The 20314-nt window shown below is 43.1% G+C and overlaps 2 protein-coding genes across 16 annotated transcripts in view, besides 1 other annotated feature; one reads left to right on the top strand and one right to left on the bottom strand.

Moving 5' to 3' along the window:
- The window catches only part of USP6 (ubiquitin specific peptidase 6), a 58960-nt gene extending 55661 nt beyond the window's left edge, over positions 1-3299 (top strand). For all 10 annotated transcript variants that reach the window (NM_001304284.2, XM_011524050.2, XM_047437018.1 and 7 more), the window contains one exon: positions 1113-3299. In NM_001304284.2, coding sequence (NP_001291213.1) covers positions 1113-1286 — 174 coding nt within the window. In that variant the 3' untranslated portion in view covers positions 1287-3299. The remainder of the gene's footprint in view (positions 1-1112) is intronic.
- ZNF594 (zinc finger protein 594) lies at positions 2391-20176 on the bottom strand. 6 transcript variants are annotated; one of them, XR_001752666.3, is made up of 4 exons: positions 20056-20176; positions 9107-12584; positions 7576-7762; positions 2391-4178 (listed from the first exon to the last, which is right to left on the bottom strand). XR_001752666.3 is itself a non-coding variant. In NM_032530.2 (2 exons), the coding sequence occupies exon 2, from the start codon at positions 12562-12564 to the stop codon at positions 10141-10143; it is 2424 nt and encodes an 807-aa protein (NP_115919.1). In that variant the 5' UTR covers positions 12565-12584; positions 20056-20176; the 3' UTR covers positions 7843-10140. The 6 variants fall into 6 exon arrangements, 2 of the variants coding, with proteins under 2 accessions (NP_115919.1, XP_005256884.1); XR_007065504.1 differs by having other exon boundaries at positions 19740-20176; XR_001752667.3 differs by lacking the exon at positions 7576-7762.
- Positions 20111-20310: a silencer, noted in NCBI's record as "silent region_8065". NCBI's record gives its function as "represses an Ori minimal core promoter by ATAC-STARR-seq in GM12878 lymphoblastoid cells {active_cell/tissue: GM12878}" and the evidence as "EXISTENCE:reporter gene assay evidence [ECO:0000049][PMID:35858748]".

The raw sequence follows: 20314 nt of genomic DNA on the forward strand, positions 1-20314 counted from the left end.
ATCTTTGAATGAAAGTTAGAATATCAACAGAACTGGGGAACATTTGTTGAAATAATGGACTATCTCTTGAATAGGAAATAGATATTTCTGTTAGAATTAATATATAGATGCTGTCAGTATTAAAGGAACAAAAGTGATATGCAGAGCAGGGAATGAAAACATGAGTAGTGAGGAAAAATAAAGAGTTAGTTGACCGGGCGCAGTGGCTCATGCCTGTAATCCCAGCACTTTGGGAGGCTGAGGCAGGCTTAGGAGGTGGATCACTTGATGTCAGGAGTTCGAGACCAGACTGGCCAACATGGTGAAACCCCATCTCTACTAAAAATACAAAAATTAGTTGGGCATGTTGGCGCATGCCTGTAATCCCAGCTACTCGGGAGGCTGAGGCAGGAGAATGGCTTGAACCTGGGAGGTGAAGGTTGCAGTGAGCCAAGACTGCACCACTGCACTCCAGCCCGAGCAACAGAGCAAGGCTCTGTCTCAAAAAAAAAAAAAAAAAGTAGTTAGTTAATGCAAAAAGCTCCTATCTTCTAGACTGTTAGAATTTGATGGGGTTGGGCCGAGCGCGGTGGCTCATGCCTATAATCCCAGCACTTTGGGAGGCCAAGGTGGGCGGATCATGAGGTCAGGAGATAGAGGCCATCCTGGCTAATATGGTGAAACCCCATCTCTACTAAAACTACAAAAAATTAGCCAGATGTGGTGGCACATGCCTGTAGTCCCAGCTGCTCGGGAGGCTGAGGCAGGAGAATCGCTTGAACCCGGGAGGCAGAGGTTGCAGTGAGCTGAGATTGCACCAGTGCACACCAGCCTGGTGACAGAGCGAGACTCCATCTCAAAAAAATAAATACATACAAAATAAATAATTAGAATTTGATGGGGTTTTAGGTCATTCTGTTTTGACTTGTCTATGGTCAAAATATTTTCCCCAAAGCAAACATTGGAAATAATGGGGCTCATTTTAAAGGGGCAGGTGTGAGACAGCCAAACTAGTGAGCTTATTGGAAGCAATCAGGTTAGTAATTACAGAGGGTTGGTCTTCCCTTTCCTGGCAAGGATTTAGAGTCATAATAGTGATGGCTTTTTGTTAAAGGTTTTTCTTGCCCTTTCAGGAACTTCACCCTGATGAAATTGACACCGACTCTGCCTACATTCTTTTCTATGAGCAGCAGGGGATAGACTACGCACAATTTCTGCCAAAGATTGATGGCAAAAAGATGGCAGACACAAGCAGTACGGATGAAGACTCTGAGTCTGATTACGAAAAGTACTCTATGTTACAGTAAAGCTACCACTCTGGCTGCTAGACAGCTTGGTGGCGAGGGAGATGACTCCTTGTAGCTGATACTTGGCAAAAGTGTCACTGAAAGACAAGCTAAATGTAGTTATTTTATCCTGTTAGAACAAAAATTCTAATTAAAATAGTTAACTTGAAGAGTAGAAACAATTGTATTTTGAAGTCTCATACAAGCTGTCTGATAGAGAACTTTCAGGCAGATCCCACCATTAGCCTGTAAACAAAAGGTGTGGCACCAGCCACCTGGGACCAAATAAGAATTGAATTGTGCTTGTCCAGATATGAACAAATATGTAGTGAGTATAGAGTTTACCAATAATCATAACAAATATTAAAGATTTCCTTGGAGTCAGAGGAAAAAACAAACAATTATAATGTTGTCTAGGGACGACATGATACGCTACCTCCTTTTTCCTGAAGTTTTATTCCATTATATTGACAAGATGGAGAAAGCAAGATCATGAAGGTGTGCAAATGATTCTTACGGCATGGACAAGGATTTTTCAATTTATTTTTTAAACTGTTTCCATACCCTTTCTTTTTCTTGCTTTTTGTTTTTGCCATTGTGTTTACGTTTGAGACACAACCAGTCATTGGTGGCAGGGGCATAGAGTGGTCAGTCTGAAAGGGAGGCTCTCTTAAGAGCTATGTGCCTTCCAACCAGAGGGAGACCCAGTAGAAAGAAAAACATCCTGGGAAATCCAGCTACCAGGGCCCTCCCAGTGGAGGCATCTTACATTTAGGCTACTTCAAGTATCCTCAGAAATGTATTCTGCACCCCCGGCCCCGCCCATGCTGAGGGAAGGGGAGCAGTTGCCAATATTTGCACCATCTTCACATGCACATGTTGCAACAAGAGCTTCTGGGAAGGTAAGCGGCATCGGAGCTAGATCACGTTTCACAATTAGTGGTTATTCTTTTCTGTGTTTGTTTTGCACTTTAAAAAAGAGAGAACACATGCAAATGAACTTGCTTGTGTGTATTTGATGGCTCTAAGGGCTATAAATTACAAACAAAACACATCCCAGACATTAGGAGTTCATAAGTATATTTAATGAAATTGGTGGTTTTAGGAAGTCAACTTTAGTTTTGCTTTGTTTGCATGTCCACTGGTTTTTTTATTTTGATATTTGTCTTTTTTTAAATTTTACAGTAGTCATTGAAAGTTATGTTTCTTTGCTTACTTCATTTTTTCCCTCTAATTATTTAAGATTGGAACAAAAGTATAAATATTATTTATTTGAGGTAGAATTTTTTTCATGTAGTTTCTTAATATATACTTGAAGGAAATGTTTCACCTTATTTTTGGTCTTTGTTTATTCATTTAGACCCTGCAAGTTGATTCTCATTGCCAGATTCCATTACCCTTTCTTCCTCATAGGTAGTAATTACCAATGTAACTAAGCATTTGTGTTCTGATATCTGAGGCCAGTAACTATTAATATCTAGTTCTCAGAGCATTTGGAAAGGTTATCTTAAATGGCTACCTAAATTGAAATCCTTTTCAGAAAAAATATAATTGCAAGTAGGTAGGAGTGGCCTAAATTGTCTAATGTAATAAAGTCAGACAAAATGCACACTTTATAGTTTCAAGATTTTCAGTAAATAAAATCTGTCCATTCCTACCTGGACATGTCCCATTAAAAAGTGGAAGATTTTAAATAATTTCTTTACAGATGTTTTATTTAAACAGGTAGCACAATCTACTAATGTTGTGTGATTTGTGTTATACTGGTTGTAATTAATTTTTTTAATTCATGAACTAGCGGAAAATTTATTAAATTAACTATTAACTACATTCACCTTGTAAATTACTGTATAAAACTTGTTGACAATGCACTGACTTTAGAAAGATGTTAATGTACATAAATAGAGTGTAAATAAAATAGTGTTGATGTACTGAAATATGAACTGTATCAAAAGTATTGGTAATTGTATATGGGGTGTACCTGTTTATCTGTTAACTATTATCCAAACAAATTAAATACTGTGGTTGCCTCTATGTGCTGTTTTTCCTCATACAAGTAAACACAGAAAGTCAAATTCTTCAGCCTCCCTCTCTGTGATCCTGTTTTAATTCTCCTACTTGAATAATTTCTTTCTGACTTGTATACAGAGGGGATGCTTCATCTCTGAGGTTGGAAACTCTGTAGAGCAGGATTCCCCAACTCCTGGGCTACAGACCAGTACTGTCCATGGCCTGTTAGGAACCGGGCTGCACAGCAGGAGGTGAGTGGCGAGCTGTATTTATAGCCGCTCCCCCTTGCTCCCATTACCGCCTGAGCTCTGCCTCCTGTTAGATCAGCAGCGGCACGCCATTCTCACAGGAGAAAGAACCCTATTGTGAACTGCGCATGCTAGCAATCTAGGTTGTGTGCTCCTTATGAGAATCTAATGCCTGATGATTTGAGGTGGAACAGTTTTATCCTGAAACCATTCCCCCCATCCCCCCAGTCCGTGGAAAAATTGTCTTCCACAACACCCATCCCTGGTGCCAAAAAGGTTGGCAACCACTGATGTAGAGGGTAGAACAAGATCTCTCCAGTGACCAGGTGACTTTAAACATGGCTCACATCCCTTTTAGAAAGTTATGGCAGGGAAGCAAGTAGAGAGCAGGTGGTAAACTGAGGATTGGTGCCTACATTGGTACCTACAGTGGGTCCTACAGTCATTTTTGTGCAGATCAGGAGATGAGGTGAAGAGAAGGAAAGCTTCTCATTTGCATAATGCCTTGAAATGACCCTAGGTTTCTAGCGGGCACCGAGAAACCAGAGATGCCCCTTGTTGTCTGTCTGGGAGATCCAAGGAGACATCTGGCAGTGTTGAGAAGAGATGAAGGTGACAGCTGTAGGTCCTTCACCCTCAGCTTCTATTTGTTCACCTATAAAGTTAAAATACGGAACACTCAGGCTTGTAAGAATTAAATGAAGGACACAAACCCTGGCACAGTTGCTTGGTAAGTGCTCAATCCAACGATATTCAATCCTATTTCACAAAGAGGGATTTTTTGTTTGTTTTGTTGTTTGTTTCTTTACCTCCTTGCTACACCGACGCTAAAAGAGTTTAATAGTACTCTGTTCACATTTTCCAAAAACAAGAATACACATTAAAAATGTATAAAATGGGCCAGGCCCAGTGGCTTACACCTGTAATCCCAGCACTTTGGAAGGCCAAGGCAGGCGGATCACCTAAGGTTGAGAGTTCCAGGCCAGCCTGACCAATATGGAGAAACCCCGTCTCTACTAAAAATACAAAATTAGCCAGGCATGGTGGTGCATGCCTGTAATCCCAGCTACTTGGGAGGCTGAAGCAGGAGAATTGCTTGAACCCGGGAGGCAGAGGTTGCAGTGAGCCGAGATCACGCCATTGCACTCCAGCCTGGGCAACAAGAGCAAAACTCTGTCTCAAAAAAAAAAAAAAAAAAAAAGAATAAAATGAAACATGTTGAATCAGCAGCAGTGGCAGCTTGTTTAAGGAACAAACAAACAGAAAATTAATACGGAAAGTCAAAAAATGAAGCACAACTCTTTTAAGTGCCAGTCTGTTTTTAGGTTTCTTCTTTTTTTTTTTTTAAATAGAGACAGGGTCTCTGTTGCACAAGGATGGAGACACACAAGCCTGGCATGGCTGTAGGTGATACAGGGTGGAGACACTGGGAGGTCAATGCGGCTGCAGACACAGGGTTTGGAAACACCTGATGGAAAATGTGGGCTGTCAGATAAATCCCTGCTTAGAGAGAAATTTACAGCCTTAAAGGAGTATGTTAGAATAGAAAAAAAGATTGACAGTCAATCACATAAACTCCCTTCTCAAGAATTAAAAACGATCAAAATGAAAGAATGAGAAAGTAATAAAGAGCAGACATCAATGAAATAGGAAAAAAAAAGCAACAGAAACAAATCAAGGATAAAAGTTGGTTTATAGGGTTGGGCGCAGAGGCTCACACCTGTAATCCCAGCACTTTGAGAGGCCGAGGCAGGCGGATCACGAGGTCAGGAGATCAAGACCATCCTGGCTAACACAGTGAAACCCCGTCTCTACTAAAAAATACAAAAAATTAGCCAGGCGGGGTGGCGGGTGCCTGTAGTCCCAGCTACTCGGCAGGCTGAGGCAGGAGAATGGCCTGAACCAGGGAGGCGGCGCTTGCAGTGAGCCGAGATCGCACCACTGCACTCCAGCATGGGCAACACAGTGAGTCTCTGTCTCATAAAAAAAAAAAAAAAAGTTGGTTTATAAATATTAATACACTTAAGAAACCACTAGTGAAACCAACTGAGGCAAAGAGGAAAGACACAGAAAACCAATATCCGGAACCAAAACAAAAGCCTGTTCCATAGAGCAGTGTATTAAGACACTAGGAGGGTTCGGTGAAATACTTAGGACTACAAGTTTGACAACAGAGATTCAAATAACATCACATTGAAAAATAAACTTACTAGGCCGGACATGGTGGCTCACGCCTGTAATCCCAGCACTTTGGGAGTTCGAGGCAGGTGGATCGCCTGAGGCCAGGAGTTCGAGACCAGCCTGGCCAACATGCTGAAAACCCGTCTCTACTAAAAAATACAGCCGGGCACTGTGGCTCACACCTGTAATACTAGCACTTTGGGAGGCTGAGGCAGGTGGATCACGAGGTCAGGAGTTCGAGACCAGCCTGGCCAACATAGTGAAACCCCGTGTCTACTAGAAACACAAAAATTAGCCGGGGTGGTGGCACGCACCTGTAACTCCAGCTACTCAGGAGGCTGAGGCTGGAGAATTGCTTGAATCCAGGAGGCGGAAGTTGCAGTGAGCCGAGATTGCGCCACTGCACTCTAGCCTGGGAGACAGAGTGAGACTCTGTCCCCCAAAAAATAAAAATAAAAATAAACTTACTAAAACGGACACAGAAATAACATAAAACAAGAAAACTCCTACATATACCGAAGGATTTGAATTATTAGAAGTCAAACCAGCCAACAAAAATACTGTTCCACAAGGAAAATTCCATACCTAAAGAAATATTCCAAATATTTAAGGAAGAAAACACCTAAATTTCTCAGACTCTTCCAAAGAGAAGAAATATAGGAAATATTTTTCAGTTTTTTTTTTTTGTGAAGCCAGCATTACTTTGACACCACAATCTGAACAGGACCTTAGAAAAAAAAATTATAGGCCCACTCTTTCATTAACAGAAATACAAATATTCTAAAAAAAACCATATCATATGAATTAAACCACATATGGAAATGTAACACATGGATACCAAGTGGGATATACTAAAAAATGCAGGATTGGTTAACATCCAAAAATAGTTCACATAAAATATCCTATTTTCAGAAAAATACGAGAAAAACATATGATTATTTACAGTATATGTAAAAAAAAGCATTTATTCAAATTCAACAATTAGTCATAAATAACTCTTAGCATATGTAAAAGAAGGCAGCTTCCTTAATCTCATTGTTTGTCTAAAATGAAATTATAATAAACTACATAAGGAATACAGGATCACTGAAACCTGTTCCCTGGAATCAGAACCAGACACACCGTGTTCAGGAGGTGTGATGGGGACAATAAAAGAAGAAAATAAAGAAAAATAAAGGTGTAAGAACCAACATTTAAGCAATATAGGTGTTATTATATGTGGCTGACACTAACTACATAAGTATGTAAGTACGTTAAGTATTTAAGTACATAAGTACATAACTACATGTACATAAGTACATGAAAAACCCACCACAATCCAAAAATGATGCCTATGAATATGTGAATTAAACCAGGTAACAAGATACAAAATCAATATATAAAATCAATTAGATTCTTATTTACCAGCAAGAAAGAAATGTGAAATAAAATTACGGTACAATGACCAGACTAAGAAACAACTATCTGCACTAGAAATGACCCCATAAAGGATTAATTTATAGAATACCTTTTTAAATTCTTCAAATCAACATAAGAACACAAATGACCCAACAGAAAAGCCAGCACTGAAAATGAAGACAAAGACGCAAAGGCCAATAAATATTCACAAAACGTCGCTTCACTAACTTATTTCCAGTTCCAGATGACAGGAGGCCCTCAAGGACCCAGAAGGCAGGACCACAGGGAGGTGACAGCGCCAGCAGCAGCAGGGCAGGCCTCTGCCTTGGCCACAGCTCCTGGCGGGCTGCAGGGGCCGGGAAGCCCGAGCAGCCTGGCGCTCCTGGCCCCTGCACACACTTCCCTCCCTCCACCCCGTTCCTCTCTCTCTCTGTGCCTTGGGCCCCCTGGGATGCGCTCACATCCAGACTCACCAGGCCGGAGACGTTGGCAGAATGGAGAAGTGCTGGCTACAGGTGGATGATGCCCACCTGGCTGCCAATGACTTCTGCACCAAGCGAGGCTGGGTCTCTGGAGCTGCACCAGGGGCTGGACAAGCTGACCCTGGCCGGAGCCAACCTGGAGATGCAGCCTGAGAACCTCAAGGAGGACCTGGTCTACCTGAAGAAGATTCAACAATGACTATCTTTCTTCAGCCCCATCTAATTACGGCCCCTGGCACATACTAAACAGTCACTAAGTAATTCTTAAATAACTTTTATTTCAACATTCAGTTAAAAACATTCCATACTGTAACAAAAATTTCAATCTTTCAAAAGTCCAATACCCTTAGTTTGATTCAAGCTCCATCAAAGATGAATTGGTTAGTTTTTAATCTGGAGTTTACAAGTCATAGTTAATATTTCAAAAAGCCTAACATAGACGATATGTTTGCCCACAAAAGGAATAAAAAGACTAATGAAAATGGTAAATTATTTGCTTTGGGCTGGAATTTTAGTACCTAGGTCTGCCTACATGGTGCCAGTCAGAAGCATGATTTGTGTTGTACATGCCTTTATGTAGCAAAATATAATTCTTTAATAAATGCAGTTTGGTAAACATAATCTTTTAAGACACAGGACATAGGGGAGTAAAAAGAAGGCCTTGGTGATTAAAAAGTTGGAAACCACTGAATTAAATTACCTTCAAATCCCTGTAAGTATCCTGTTTATCCTTATAAACATTAGCTCTCACTGTACAGCATTGTAAAGACAAGCAGAAGAGTTAGACTTTTTTTTTTTTTTGAGATGGAGTTTCGCACTTGTTGCCCAGGCTGGAGTGCAGTGGCATGATCTTGGCTCACCGCAACCTCCACCTCCCAGGTTCAAGTGATTCTCCTGCCCTAGCCTCGCAAGTACCTGGGACTACAGGCGTGCCCCACCATGCCTGGCTAATTTTTGTTATTTTTAGTAGAGACGGGGTTTTAGTATGTTGGCTGGGCATAGTAACTCCTCATGATCAACTCGTGACCTCGTGATCTGCCCACCTTGGCTTCCCAAAGTGCTGGATTACAGGTACGAGCCACCGCACCTGGCCTACACTCATTACTTTCACAGGGTTTTTTCCCACATTTAAACTTGTCACTCGACTAGGAAGTCAAGATTGAAATGGCTCTTTCCATGAATAATTTAGTTTTGGGGTTGTTGCCAAAGTGATTTATAATGATTTTAATAATGATAGACATCCCTTAAAACATTCTCAAGTAATTAGACCCCTGGGGCTGGTGCAGTGGCTCATGCCGGTAATCCCAACCCTTTGGGAGGCTGAGGAGGGAGGAGTGCTTGAGCCCAAGAGTTCAAGTCCAGCCTGGGCAACATAGTGAGACCTCATCTCTTTGTATGTTAAAAAATAAATAATTTAAAAAATTGTATCGTTGGGACCATATTCTAGTGTCAGTTCTGAGACAGAAAAAAAAAAGGTGATTATGTCCAAGAGCTTTTGGCTTTTCCACTTGATTATACTTACGTTTGAAAAATCCAGTAGGTATTTTCTCTGCTTTCCCACCTTCCCATGGTTTTTTTCTAATAAAACTCATTTGTAGTGCAATAAGATGTGGTCTCCATCAGACTTTTCCTAGTTTTACTGCATTCATTAGGTTTCTGCTACCTATTAGAATAGGTCCTGTTTGTAGACTCTTACAGTCTTCAAATTCCTTTCCAATGTGAAGTTTCTGGTGCTTAAGAAAAGCTGTCCACCCACTGAAGGCCTTACCACAGTTGCTACATTCAAAGGGTTTCTCTCTGGTATGAATTCTTTGATGACTGACAAGGTGTGAGTTCTGACTGAAGGCCTTCCAACATTCAGGGCATTCATAGGGTTTCTCTCCAGTATGAACACGATGGTGTCTAATAAGATCTGAGCTGCCCCTAAAAGATTTCCCACATTTGTTGCATACATAAGGTTTTTCTCCACTGTGAATTCTATGATGTCTCAGAAGGTCTGAGCTCTGATTGAAAGTTTTCCCACATTCTTTACATTCATATGGTTTCTCTCCTGTATGAGTTACCTGATGTCCGATGAGGTCTGAGCTGCCCTGGAAAGCCCTACCACACTGATTACACCAATAAGCTTTCTCTTCTTGGTGAATTTTCTGCTCTCCCCTAAGCTCCTCATCCTTGCTGAAGGTTTTCTCACGTTCTTCAAGTTTCTCTCCAGCATGCAGTCTCTGATGTTTGAGGAAAGCTGTGTGCCACATGAAGAGTTTCCCACATTCCTTACATTCATAGGGTTTCTCACCACTATGAATTCTCCGACGTTGAATAAGGAGTGAACGCCGCCTGAAGGCTTTTTCACATTCAGTGCACTGATAGGGCTTCTCTCCAGTGTGGATTTTCTGGTGTGTGACAAGGTGGGACCTCTGGCTAAAGACTTTCCCACATTCACTACATTCATGAGGTTTCTCTCCAGTATGAACACGATGGTGTTTAATAAGATCTGAGCTGCTCCTAAAAGATTCCCCACATTTATTGCATACGTAAGGTTTTTCTCCACTGTGAATTCTATGATGTCTCAGAAGGTCTGAGCTCTGATTGAGTTTTCCCACATTCTTTACATTCATATGGTTTCTCTCTTGTATGAGTTACCTGATGTCTGATGAGATCTGAGCTGCCCTGGAAGGTCCTACTACACTGATTACACCAATAAACTTTCTTTTCCTGGTGAGTTCTCTGCTCTTTTCTAAGCTCCTCATCCTTGCTGAAGGTTTTCTCACATTCTTCAAGTTTCTCTCCAGCATGCAGTCTCTGATGTTTGAGGAAAGCCGTGTGCCACATGAAGAGTTTCCCACATTCCTTACATTCATAGGGTTTCTCACCACTATGAAGTCTCCGATGTTGAATAAGGAGGGAACGCCGCCTGAAGGCATTCCCACATTCACTGCACTGATAGGGTTTCTCTCCAGTATGGATTTTCTGGTGTGTAGCAAGGTGTGACCTCTGGCTGAAGGCTTTCCCACATTCACTACATTCATAGGGTTTCTCTCCAGTATGAATACGATGGTGTTTAATAAGATCTGAGCTACCCCTAAAAGATTTCCCACATTTGTTGCATACATAAGGTTTTTCTCCACTGTGAATTCTATGATGTCTCAGAAGGTCTGAGCTCTGATTGAAAGTTTTCCCACATTCTTTGCATTCATATGGTTTCTCTCTTGTATGAGTTACCTGATGTCTGATGAGGTCTGAGCTGCCCTGGAAAGCCCTACCACACTGATTACACCAATAAGCTTTCGCTTCCTGGTGAATTTTCTGCTCTCCCCTAAGCTCCTCATCCTGGCTGAAGGTTTTCTCACATTCAAGTTTCTCTCCAGTATGCAGGCTCTGATGTTTGAGGAAAGCTGTGCGCCAAATGAAGAGCTTCCCACATTCCTTACATTCATAGGGTTTCTCACCACTATGAATTCTCCGATGTTGAATAAGGAGTGAACGCCGCCTGAAGGCTTTCCCACATTCAGTGCACTGATAGGGCTTCTCTCCAGTATGGATTTTCTGGTGTGTAACAAGGTGTGACCTCTGGCTAAAGGCTTTCCCACATTCACTACATTCATAGGGTTTCTCTCCAGTATGAACACGATGGTGTCTAATAAGATCTGAGCTGCCCCTAAAAGATTTCCCACATTTGCTACATACACAAGGTTTTTCTCCACTGTGAATTCTATGATGTCTCAGAAGGTCTGAGCTCTGATTGAAAGTTTTCCCACATTCTTTACATTCATATGGTTTCTCTCCTGTATGAGTTACCTGATGTCTGATGAGGTCTGAGGTGCCCTGGAAATTCCTACCACACTGATTACACCAATAAGCTTTCTCTTCCTGGTGAATTCTCTGCTCTTCCCTAAGCTCCTCATCCTTGCTGAAGGTTTTCTCACATTCTTCAATTTTCTCTCCAGCATGCAATCTCTGATGTTTAAGAAAAGCTGTGCGCCCACTGAAGGTCTTCCCACATCTGTGACATTCATAGGGTTTCTCTCCACTGTGGAGTCTCTGGTGTTCAGTAAGGTGAGAATGCTGCCTGAAGGCTTTTTCACATTCATTACATTTGAGGGGTTTCTCTCCAGTGTGAATTCTCTGATGTGGGACAAGGTGTGAACTTTGACTGAACATCTGTCCACAGTCATAACATTCATAGGGTTTCTCTCCAGTGTGAATTCTGTGATGTATAATAAGATCTGTGCTTTGACTGAAAGCCTTCCCACATTTATTGCATAAATATGGCTTCCCCCTACTGTGGATTCTCTGGTGCAGGACAAGGTTTGAGCTTCCCTTAAAAGCCTTCCCACACTCTTTGCACTCATAGGGATTCCCACCACTGTGAATTTGCTTATGTCTCACCAGATTGGAGCTCTGATTGAAGTCTTTTCCACATTCATGACATATATAAGGTTTCTTTCCTGTATGAATTCTCTGATGTATAATAAGATTTGAACTTTGATTAGAGTCTTTCCCACATTCATTACACACATATGGCTTATTTCCTGTATGAATTCTCTGATGTATGATCAGGTTTGAACTCCTGTTGAAGGTTTTTTCACATTCCTTACATTCATAGGTCTTATTTATATTATGAATTTTCTGATGTTCAGTTAATCCTGACTTCTGTTTGAAGTTTTGGCCACTAACCTCATATCTATGGGAGCTTTCTCCTGCAGAAAGTATTTTTTCTCCTTCATTACATCCATGGCCAATCTCTCCCACAATGGCTTTCTGGGGGATAATATGCATTTCCCTGATACCGCTCTCTTGGGAAGGGAGATGTCTCATTGCATCCTTTAAAGGGCTTACCCAGTGCTTCAATAATCTGTCCTCAGAATTACTGGTTTCAACTAACTCACATTCCTGGGTGATTTGTCTTTGGAGTTTTTCGGATGCAGCCCTTGCTGACTTCTTTTCTTCAGAAATTTCCATCTTTGATTTCCATTCCTTCATCTTATTCCTGTCTTCAGAATCTGAAATGATAAGTAGATCATTCTATAATTCCTAAAATACAAATATCATCTCTTCATTATACTGGGCAGTCTAAGAGGGAGGAACAAAGAACTCAGAAGACCTTTCCCTGCCAAAGCTGAGATGTGGCTTTCACTAGCGACACTGTGGCTAACACAGGAACCTGTGCTACCACATACCCTGTTGGTGAAAAAACCCGCCAGGGTGCAGGCTGGAGCTGGGCTGTGGGAGTGGCCTAAAGGGTGGTGAATTAATTCACTGGGGGAGGAGGGCAATCTGGAGTTGGTCCACAGGAAGTGGCCTGTTGGATGGGGGAGGAACTTGCTGGATGGTGTGGCTGGGCCTGAACTGGTTCACAGGAAGCAACCCACTAGGGTAAATGCCACCAGGCCTCCCACAAGTTGATCTGCTAGCAGCCACATAAGTAAATAATTAAAATAAATAAATAAAAATAGAACAGCACACCGGTACCAGGAAGTTAGTTTCTCTTCCCATGGCCACGCATTGTCCCTCCAGCATCCTCTGTTGACAAAGTCAAATCTTGTACGAACTGGCAAAGGAGAAATGTTTACAGAATCCAGCTTTGTAACAAAAGCAAACAAAGATGGGTGGATCTGGAGTTGAGAGGCAATAAATTAATAACCAGCATACTGCTCTTTCCTCCCTATATATCATGATAGTTAAGCAAATCTGTACTATGCCTCAGAATAAAAACGTTTGGCTGTCATTTCAATAGAAATCAATTCTCTTCTTCTCAGACCTCACATTTTTCTTTCTGATATTCTGATGGAATTGCCTCCTTTTGTGTGGCAATTTGATTTCTTCTGAAATTACAAGATAGATGAGCTTATTGCTTTTGAGGGTCCACGTTATCAAATCCCTGACCTTCCCCAGTGGATTAGTCCGTTTTCATGCTGCTGATAAAGACATACCTGAGACTGGAGAGAAAAAGAGGTTTAGTTGGACTTACAGTTCCACATGGCTGGGAAGGCCTCAGAATCATGGTGGGAGGTGAAAGGCACATCTTACATGGTGGTGGCAAGAGAAAATGAGGAAGATGCAAAAGCAGAAACCCCTGATAAAATCATCAGATCTCATGAGACTTATTCACTACCATGAGAATAGTAGGGGGGAAACTGCCCCCATGATTCAAATTATCTCCCACCATATCCCTCCCACAAAACATGGGATTTATGGGAGTACAATTCAAGATGAGACTTGAGTGGGGACACAGAGCCAAACCATATCATTCTGCCCCTGGCCCCTCCAAATCTTATGTCCTCACATTTCAAAACCAATCATGCCTTCCCAACAGTCCCCCTAAGTCTCATCTCATTTCAGCATTAACCCAAAAGTCCACAGTTCAAAGTCTCAACAGAAACAAGGCAAGTCCCTTCCTCCTATGAGCCTGTAAAATCAAAAGCAAGCTAGTTACTTCCTAGATATAATGGGGGTACAGGTATTGCTGGGTAAATACAGCTGTTCCAAATGGGAGAAATTGGCCAAAACAAAGGGGTTACAGGGCCCATGCAAGTCCGAAATCCAGCAAGGCAATCAAATTTTAAACCTCCAAAATGATCTCCTTTGACTCCAGGTCTCACATCCAGGTCATGCTGATGCAAGAGGTGGGTTCCCATGGTCTTGGGCAACTCCACCCCTGTGGCTTTGTAGGGCACAGCCTCCCTCCTGGCTGCTTTCACGGGCTGGTGTTGAGTGTCTGCAGCTTTTCCAGGCATACGGTGCAAGCTGTAGGTGGATCTACCATTCTGGGGTCTGGAGGTCATTGGCCCTCTTCTCACAGCTCCACTAGAAGGTGCCCGAGTAGGGACTCCATATGGTGGCTTCGACCCCACATTTCCCTTCTGCAGTGCCCTAGCAGAGGTTCTCCATGAGATCCCTGCCCCTGCAGCAAACTTCTGGCTGGGCATCCAAGCGTTTCCATACATCTTCTGAAATCCAGGTGGAAGTTCCCAAACCTCAATTCTTGACTTCTGTGTACCTAAAGACTCAACACCATGTGGAAACTGCCAAGGCTTAGGGCACCCTCTGAAGCCACAGCTTGAGCTCTATCTACATTGGCCCCTTTCAGCCATGGCTAGAGCGGCTGGGATGCAGCGCACCAAGTCCCTAGGCTGGACACAGCATTGGGACCCTGGGCCTGGCCCACAAAACCATTTTCTCCTAGGCCTCCAGGCCTGTGATGGGAGGGGCTGCTGTGAAGACTTCTGACATGCCCTGGAGACATTTTCCCCATTGTCTTGCGGATTAACATTCAGCTTCTTGTTACTTATGCAAATTTCTGCAGCCTGATTGAATTTCTCCTCAGAAAATGGGTTTTTCTTTTCTATCACATTCTCAGGCTGCAAATTTTCTGAACTTTTATGCTCTGCTTCCCTCATAAAACTGAATCCATTTAACAGGACCCAAGTCACACCTTGAATGTTTTGCTGCTTAGAAATTTCTTCCACCAGATACCCTAAATCATCTCTCTCAAGTTCAAAGTTCCACAAATCTCTAGGGCAGTGGCAAAATGCCACCAGTGTCTTTGCTAAAACATAACAAGAGTCACCTCTGCTCCAGTTCCCGACAAGTTCCTCATCTCCATCTGAGACCACCTCAGCCTGGACCTTATTGTCCATAATGCTGTCAGGCCTTTGGTCAAAGCCACTCAACAAGTCTCTAGAAGTTCCAAACTTTCCCACATTTTCCTGTCTTCTTCTGAGCCCCCCAGACTGTTCCGACCTTTGCCTGTTCTCCAGCTCCAGAATTGCTTCCACATTTTGGATGTCTTTTCAGCAGCACCCCTGGCACCAATTTACTGTATTAGTATGTTTTCATGCTGCTGATGAAGACATACCCGAGACTGGGAAGAAAAAGAGGTTTAATTGGACTTACAGTTCCACATGGTTTGAGAGGCCTCAGAATTATGGCAGGAGGCAAAAGGCACTTCTTACATTGTGGTGGCAAGAGAAAATGAGGAAGATGCAAAAGCGGAAACCAATGATAAAACCATCAGATCTCATGAGACTTATTCACTACCATGAAAACAGTATGGGGGAACCACCCCCATGATTCAAATTATCTCCCACCAGGTCCCTCCCACAACATATGGGAATTATGGAAGTACAATTCAAGATGAGATTTGGGTGGGGACACAGAGCCAAACCATATCAGTCAGTCACAAAAACACATTTCTGAGCTCCTTGGGAGAGTCATTTTATTTTGGTCCTGCTGATAGGGACTCTAGTCATTAATCTTCTTGGAGTGAATGAGCAGCAACATGGCACAGTGATTAACAGCATGGACTGAAAGGCAAACTGCCTGAGTTTGAAACCTGGCTCCACCACTTAATGATGGGGAAACCTCAGGCAAATCACTGGAGCTCTCAGTGCCCTAGCTTCGTCATCTATAAAATGGAGATAATAATAGTATTTACCTCATAGAGTTGTTATGAGAATCAAATATATATAAATACACATAAAACATTTAGAACAGTGCTTTGCATACAGAAAGCACTATGTGTCAGCTGCTGTTATTATTACTATTAATACTTACCCTTTAATATTAAGTAATGTGTCCATAGAACAGACCTCCATATCCAGGCTGGATTTCCTTTTTTTTTTTTTTTTTTAGAGATATGGTCTCACCATGTTGCCCAGGCTGGTCTCACACTCCTGGGCTCAGGCCATCCTGCCCTGGACTCCCAAAGTGCTGGGATTGCAGGTGTGAGGCACTGCACCTGGCCTTGGATTTCATTTAAATACCATACCCTCTCCTGCAACTGAAAGACAGTGGCCTTACTGCTTTTGGGTGCCCATATTATCAAATCCCTGACCTTTATTATTGGAGAGAATTGGCTTTGTCATAATTTTCCCTTGAAGTGTTTAGTGTTTTTTTTTTTTTTTGGTTCGATATACATATATATATAGAGAGAGAGAGTTCAAAATTCAGGAGCAGATTACTATTTAAAAGATAGTAGATTAAAGGCTGCCCTTTTTTTTTTTTTTTCACAAAAAACTTGTGATCTGAAGGGCTTTTATTGTGTCATACTGAAGTCTTGAAAGCCAGAAGCTGAAGGAAGGTATGCCTCTAGATTTGATGAGGCGTTTGTGGCAGCAAATCTGTATGAAGGCTTTCAAGTGCCTGGGCTCAATTTCCTCTGTTTGTTCCCATAGTACTTTTTAATAAAGAGCCTGCTTCATTCATTATTGAGTAGTAATTGTTAAGATAAATTTGTGGGATGTATGCTTAAAATAAAAAAATACACATTTTCAGGGAAGAATAAAGGAAAGAAAGGAACATCAGCAACAGAAACATACATCCATGAAGAATACAAAGAAATTAATAGGAAACATTCAGCAGAGAATTCTCCATTATCTCAAAGAAATTTCAGACAAAATAACTCTTTAAATAAAAGCCTAAAGAAGAGATATAAGGGTTTAAAACAGATTACACATTTACATTTAAAATTTTGACTTTTTTTTTTTTTTTGAGATGGAGTCTTGCTCTGTTACCCAGGCTGGAGTGCAATGGCGCGATCTCGGCTCACTGCAAGCTCCGCCTCCCGGGTTCACGCCATTCTCCTGCCTCAGCCTCCCGAGTAGCTGGGACTACAGGCGCCCACCAGTACGCCCAGCTAATTTTTTGTACTTTTAGTAGAGACGGGGTTTCACCACATTAGCCAGGATGGTCTCGATCTCCTGACCTCGTGATCTGCCCGCCTTGGCCTCCCAAAGTGCTGGGATTACAGGGGTGAGCCACCACGCCCAGCCAAAAATTTGACATTTTTAATTTAAAAAAAAATATTGAGTCATGTAGCCAAAAAAAAAAAGAAAAGAGAAAGGAAAAAATAATAGCAATGGGGCCTCAGTATACTGCCCAGGCTGGTCTTGAACTCCTGGCTTCAAGTGATCCTCCCACCTTGGCCTCCCAAAGTGCTGGGGTTATAGGTGTGAGCCACTGTGCCAGGCCATTTTTTTTTCACTTTTTTTTTTGGAGACAGGGTCTCTGTCACCCAGGCTGGAGTGCAGTGGTGTAATCATGGTTCACTGCAGCCTTGACCTCCCAGGCTGAGATGATTCTCCCACCTCAGCCTCCCAAGTAGCTGGGATTACAGGCATGCTGCAGCACACATGGCTAAGTTTTTGTAGAGATGGGGCTTGCCGTGTTGTCCAGGGTGTTCTGGAACTCCTGGCCTCAAGGGATCTTCCTGCCTCAGCCTCCCAAAGTGCTAGCATTACAGGCGTGAGCCACTGTGCCCAGCTTGTTTTGTTTTTTTCATACATGCTCTCATTCTGTCACCCAGGCTGGAGTGCAGTGGTGCAATCATAGCTCACTGCAACCTCAAACTCCTGGGCTCAAGCAATCCTCCCACTTCAGCCTGACACCATAGGCACACCACCATACCCAGCTAGTTTAAATAATTTTTTTGTAGAGAAAAGGTCTTGCTATGTTGCCCAGGCAGGTCTCAAACTCCTGGCCTCAAGGGATTCTTCAGCCTCCCAAAGTGCTGAGATTACAGACATGAGCCACCATGCCTGGCCAAAAACAAATTAGATTAGAAAACAATAAAAAGTAGTGAGAAGTGATTTGACAATGCTGAGGAAAGAAATGGAAGGGCAAATAAAAAGCATTATGTAGATGAAATTCACATAAGGAACAACAAAAATAATCACTACAAGGTCACAATGAGGCCTGGAGAAATAATAAAAAATGAAATGAATACAAATGTGATTACAGAGAAAACCAGTAACTAAAGAAAGATAATCAAATACATATAATTAGTGTTCCTAAAGAAAAGAGCAAACACAGGCCGGGCGCAGTGGCTCACACCTGTAATTCCAGCACTTTGGGAGGCTGAGGCAGGCAGAGTACCAGAGGTTGGGAGTTCGAGACCAGCCTGACCAACATGGAGAGAAATCCTGTGTCTACTAAAAATACAAAATTAGCTGGGCGTGGTGGCACATGCCTGTAGTCCCAGCTACTCGGAAGGCTGAGGCAGGAGAATCGCTTGAACCTGGGAGGCGGAGGTTGCAGTGAGCCGAGATCGCACCACTGCACTCTAGTCTGTTGACAGAGCGAGACTCTGTCTTAAGAAAAAAAAGGAAGTTGGCCATTAATTCAAATAAAAACAAACAGCATGAGCCAAGAAAATGTGTCTACACTCAAAGCTGGCCTAGGGGCCACTATTTTTTAACTTAAGAAATGCCACTATTTCATGCCCAGTTCTTAGTATCTTTTAACTATGTCAATCCTTTTTAATTCACATTCATGGGCACGCATTAGGTGAAGCTAAACAAAGAATCTATGCCTAGAGGAAGACTCACACATGAAACAAGGTAGTAAGAGCCTATGAATTAGATGCTAAAAGCGCTGCGGTGGCAATCCGGGAAGGCTTCCCAAAAGAAATGACTTTTGAAGTGTGATACCCTACTTTGTTTTAACCTGAGTGACTCTCTCCTAGCAGAGAGAGAGCCGGACAGACTCCATTTTAGTTTCTCCACTGGCAGCCCCCTTTCACCTCCCTCCCTTAAGGCATAGCTAGTGTAAACTGACTCAAAGCACGTCCAGGAATGCACCTACTGATAAGATATTGAGGCAAGCTGCACCAGCAGCTCCTGGGGACGCGCTCGGTGGATGGCAAGCAAAACCCCTGCATTTATCTCTTTGTGATAGTTTAAGCCCGTGCAATTGGAACTGTTTATATTTTGTAACTGCATTTGTAACCAATTAATTTTTCAACTTTTTGCCAGTTCTGCTTCTGTAAAAATTGCTTCAGCTAAAATCCCCCCTCCCCTATTTAGACCACGGTATAAAAACAAAACTAGCCCCTTCCTCAGGGCCGAGAAAATTTTGGGCGCTAGCTGCCTCTCGGTTGCCGGCTAATAAGGACTCTTTAATTTGTCTCAAAGTGTGGCGTTTCTCTGTAACTCGCTTGGTCACAATAGAAGCTGCTCCTAAAAGCAATGTAGACCCTTACAAAGAGACCAGCCCACCTAAATCCCTCCCTTGTTTGAACTCTAACAGTCCTAATATTTTAGACTGAGTAGTAGAACATATATGAACAATACAGTTCATTCCTGTGGCTTAGTCTAGCCTCCCCAGCGGGGTCACTCGTGGGATGCAAAAACCAGATTTGGTTACATATACAAATATACCTGGCACAGATGTGGGCGAGGAATAATCAATTTATGCCTGACGGTGGATTCTGGGCCTCGGGAAGATGCCGTTAGCGGTACCCACAGGAGGGAACTGGAACAGGCAAGAGTAGCGGGACAGGGCCGGGAATGGGGCACGCCGAGACCAAGAAGCCGACCGAGAGCAAGAAGGCCCAGTCATGCGCACCCGGCGCCTACATCCTCCTGCGGTCCCCCAGGCCTCTCCCCATAGGCATATGAGCTCTGCTCCACTCCTCGCTTGCCGGTGGACGCAGGCGCCGCGGCCGCCAGCTCTGTGAACGCAGCGGGGTCTCACCTCCAGGCTACCCCCAACCTCCCGCTCGGTCGGGGGCCCCTCCACGGCCGCTATCACTGGGTCGCGGCTCCTAGCGCCACCATCTTGGACCCCGCGCCTGGGCCAGGCGAGAACTTCCGGTGCGCTCCCCGGGACTGCGGTCCCCCAGTCCGCGCCCCGCCCAGCCGTCCCCCGTCGGCTCCAGCCAATCCGCGCGCGCTCCCCTGGCCGTCTCCCACCGGATCAGGTGTCTCCTCTGCGCAGACTCCTCCACGACGCC

Source organism: Homo sapiens, chromosome 17 (assembly GCF_000001405.40).
Source record: "Homo sapiens chromosome 17, GRCh38.p14 Primary Assembly".
Classification (NCBI taxonomy): domain Eukaryota; kingdom Metazoa; phylum Chordata; class Mammalia; order Primates; family Hominidae; genus Homo; species Homo sapiens.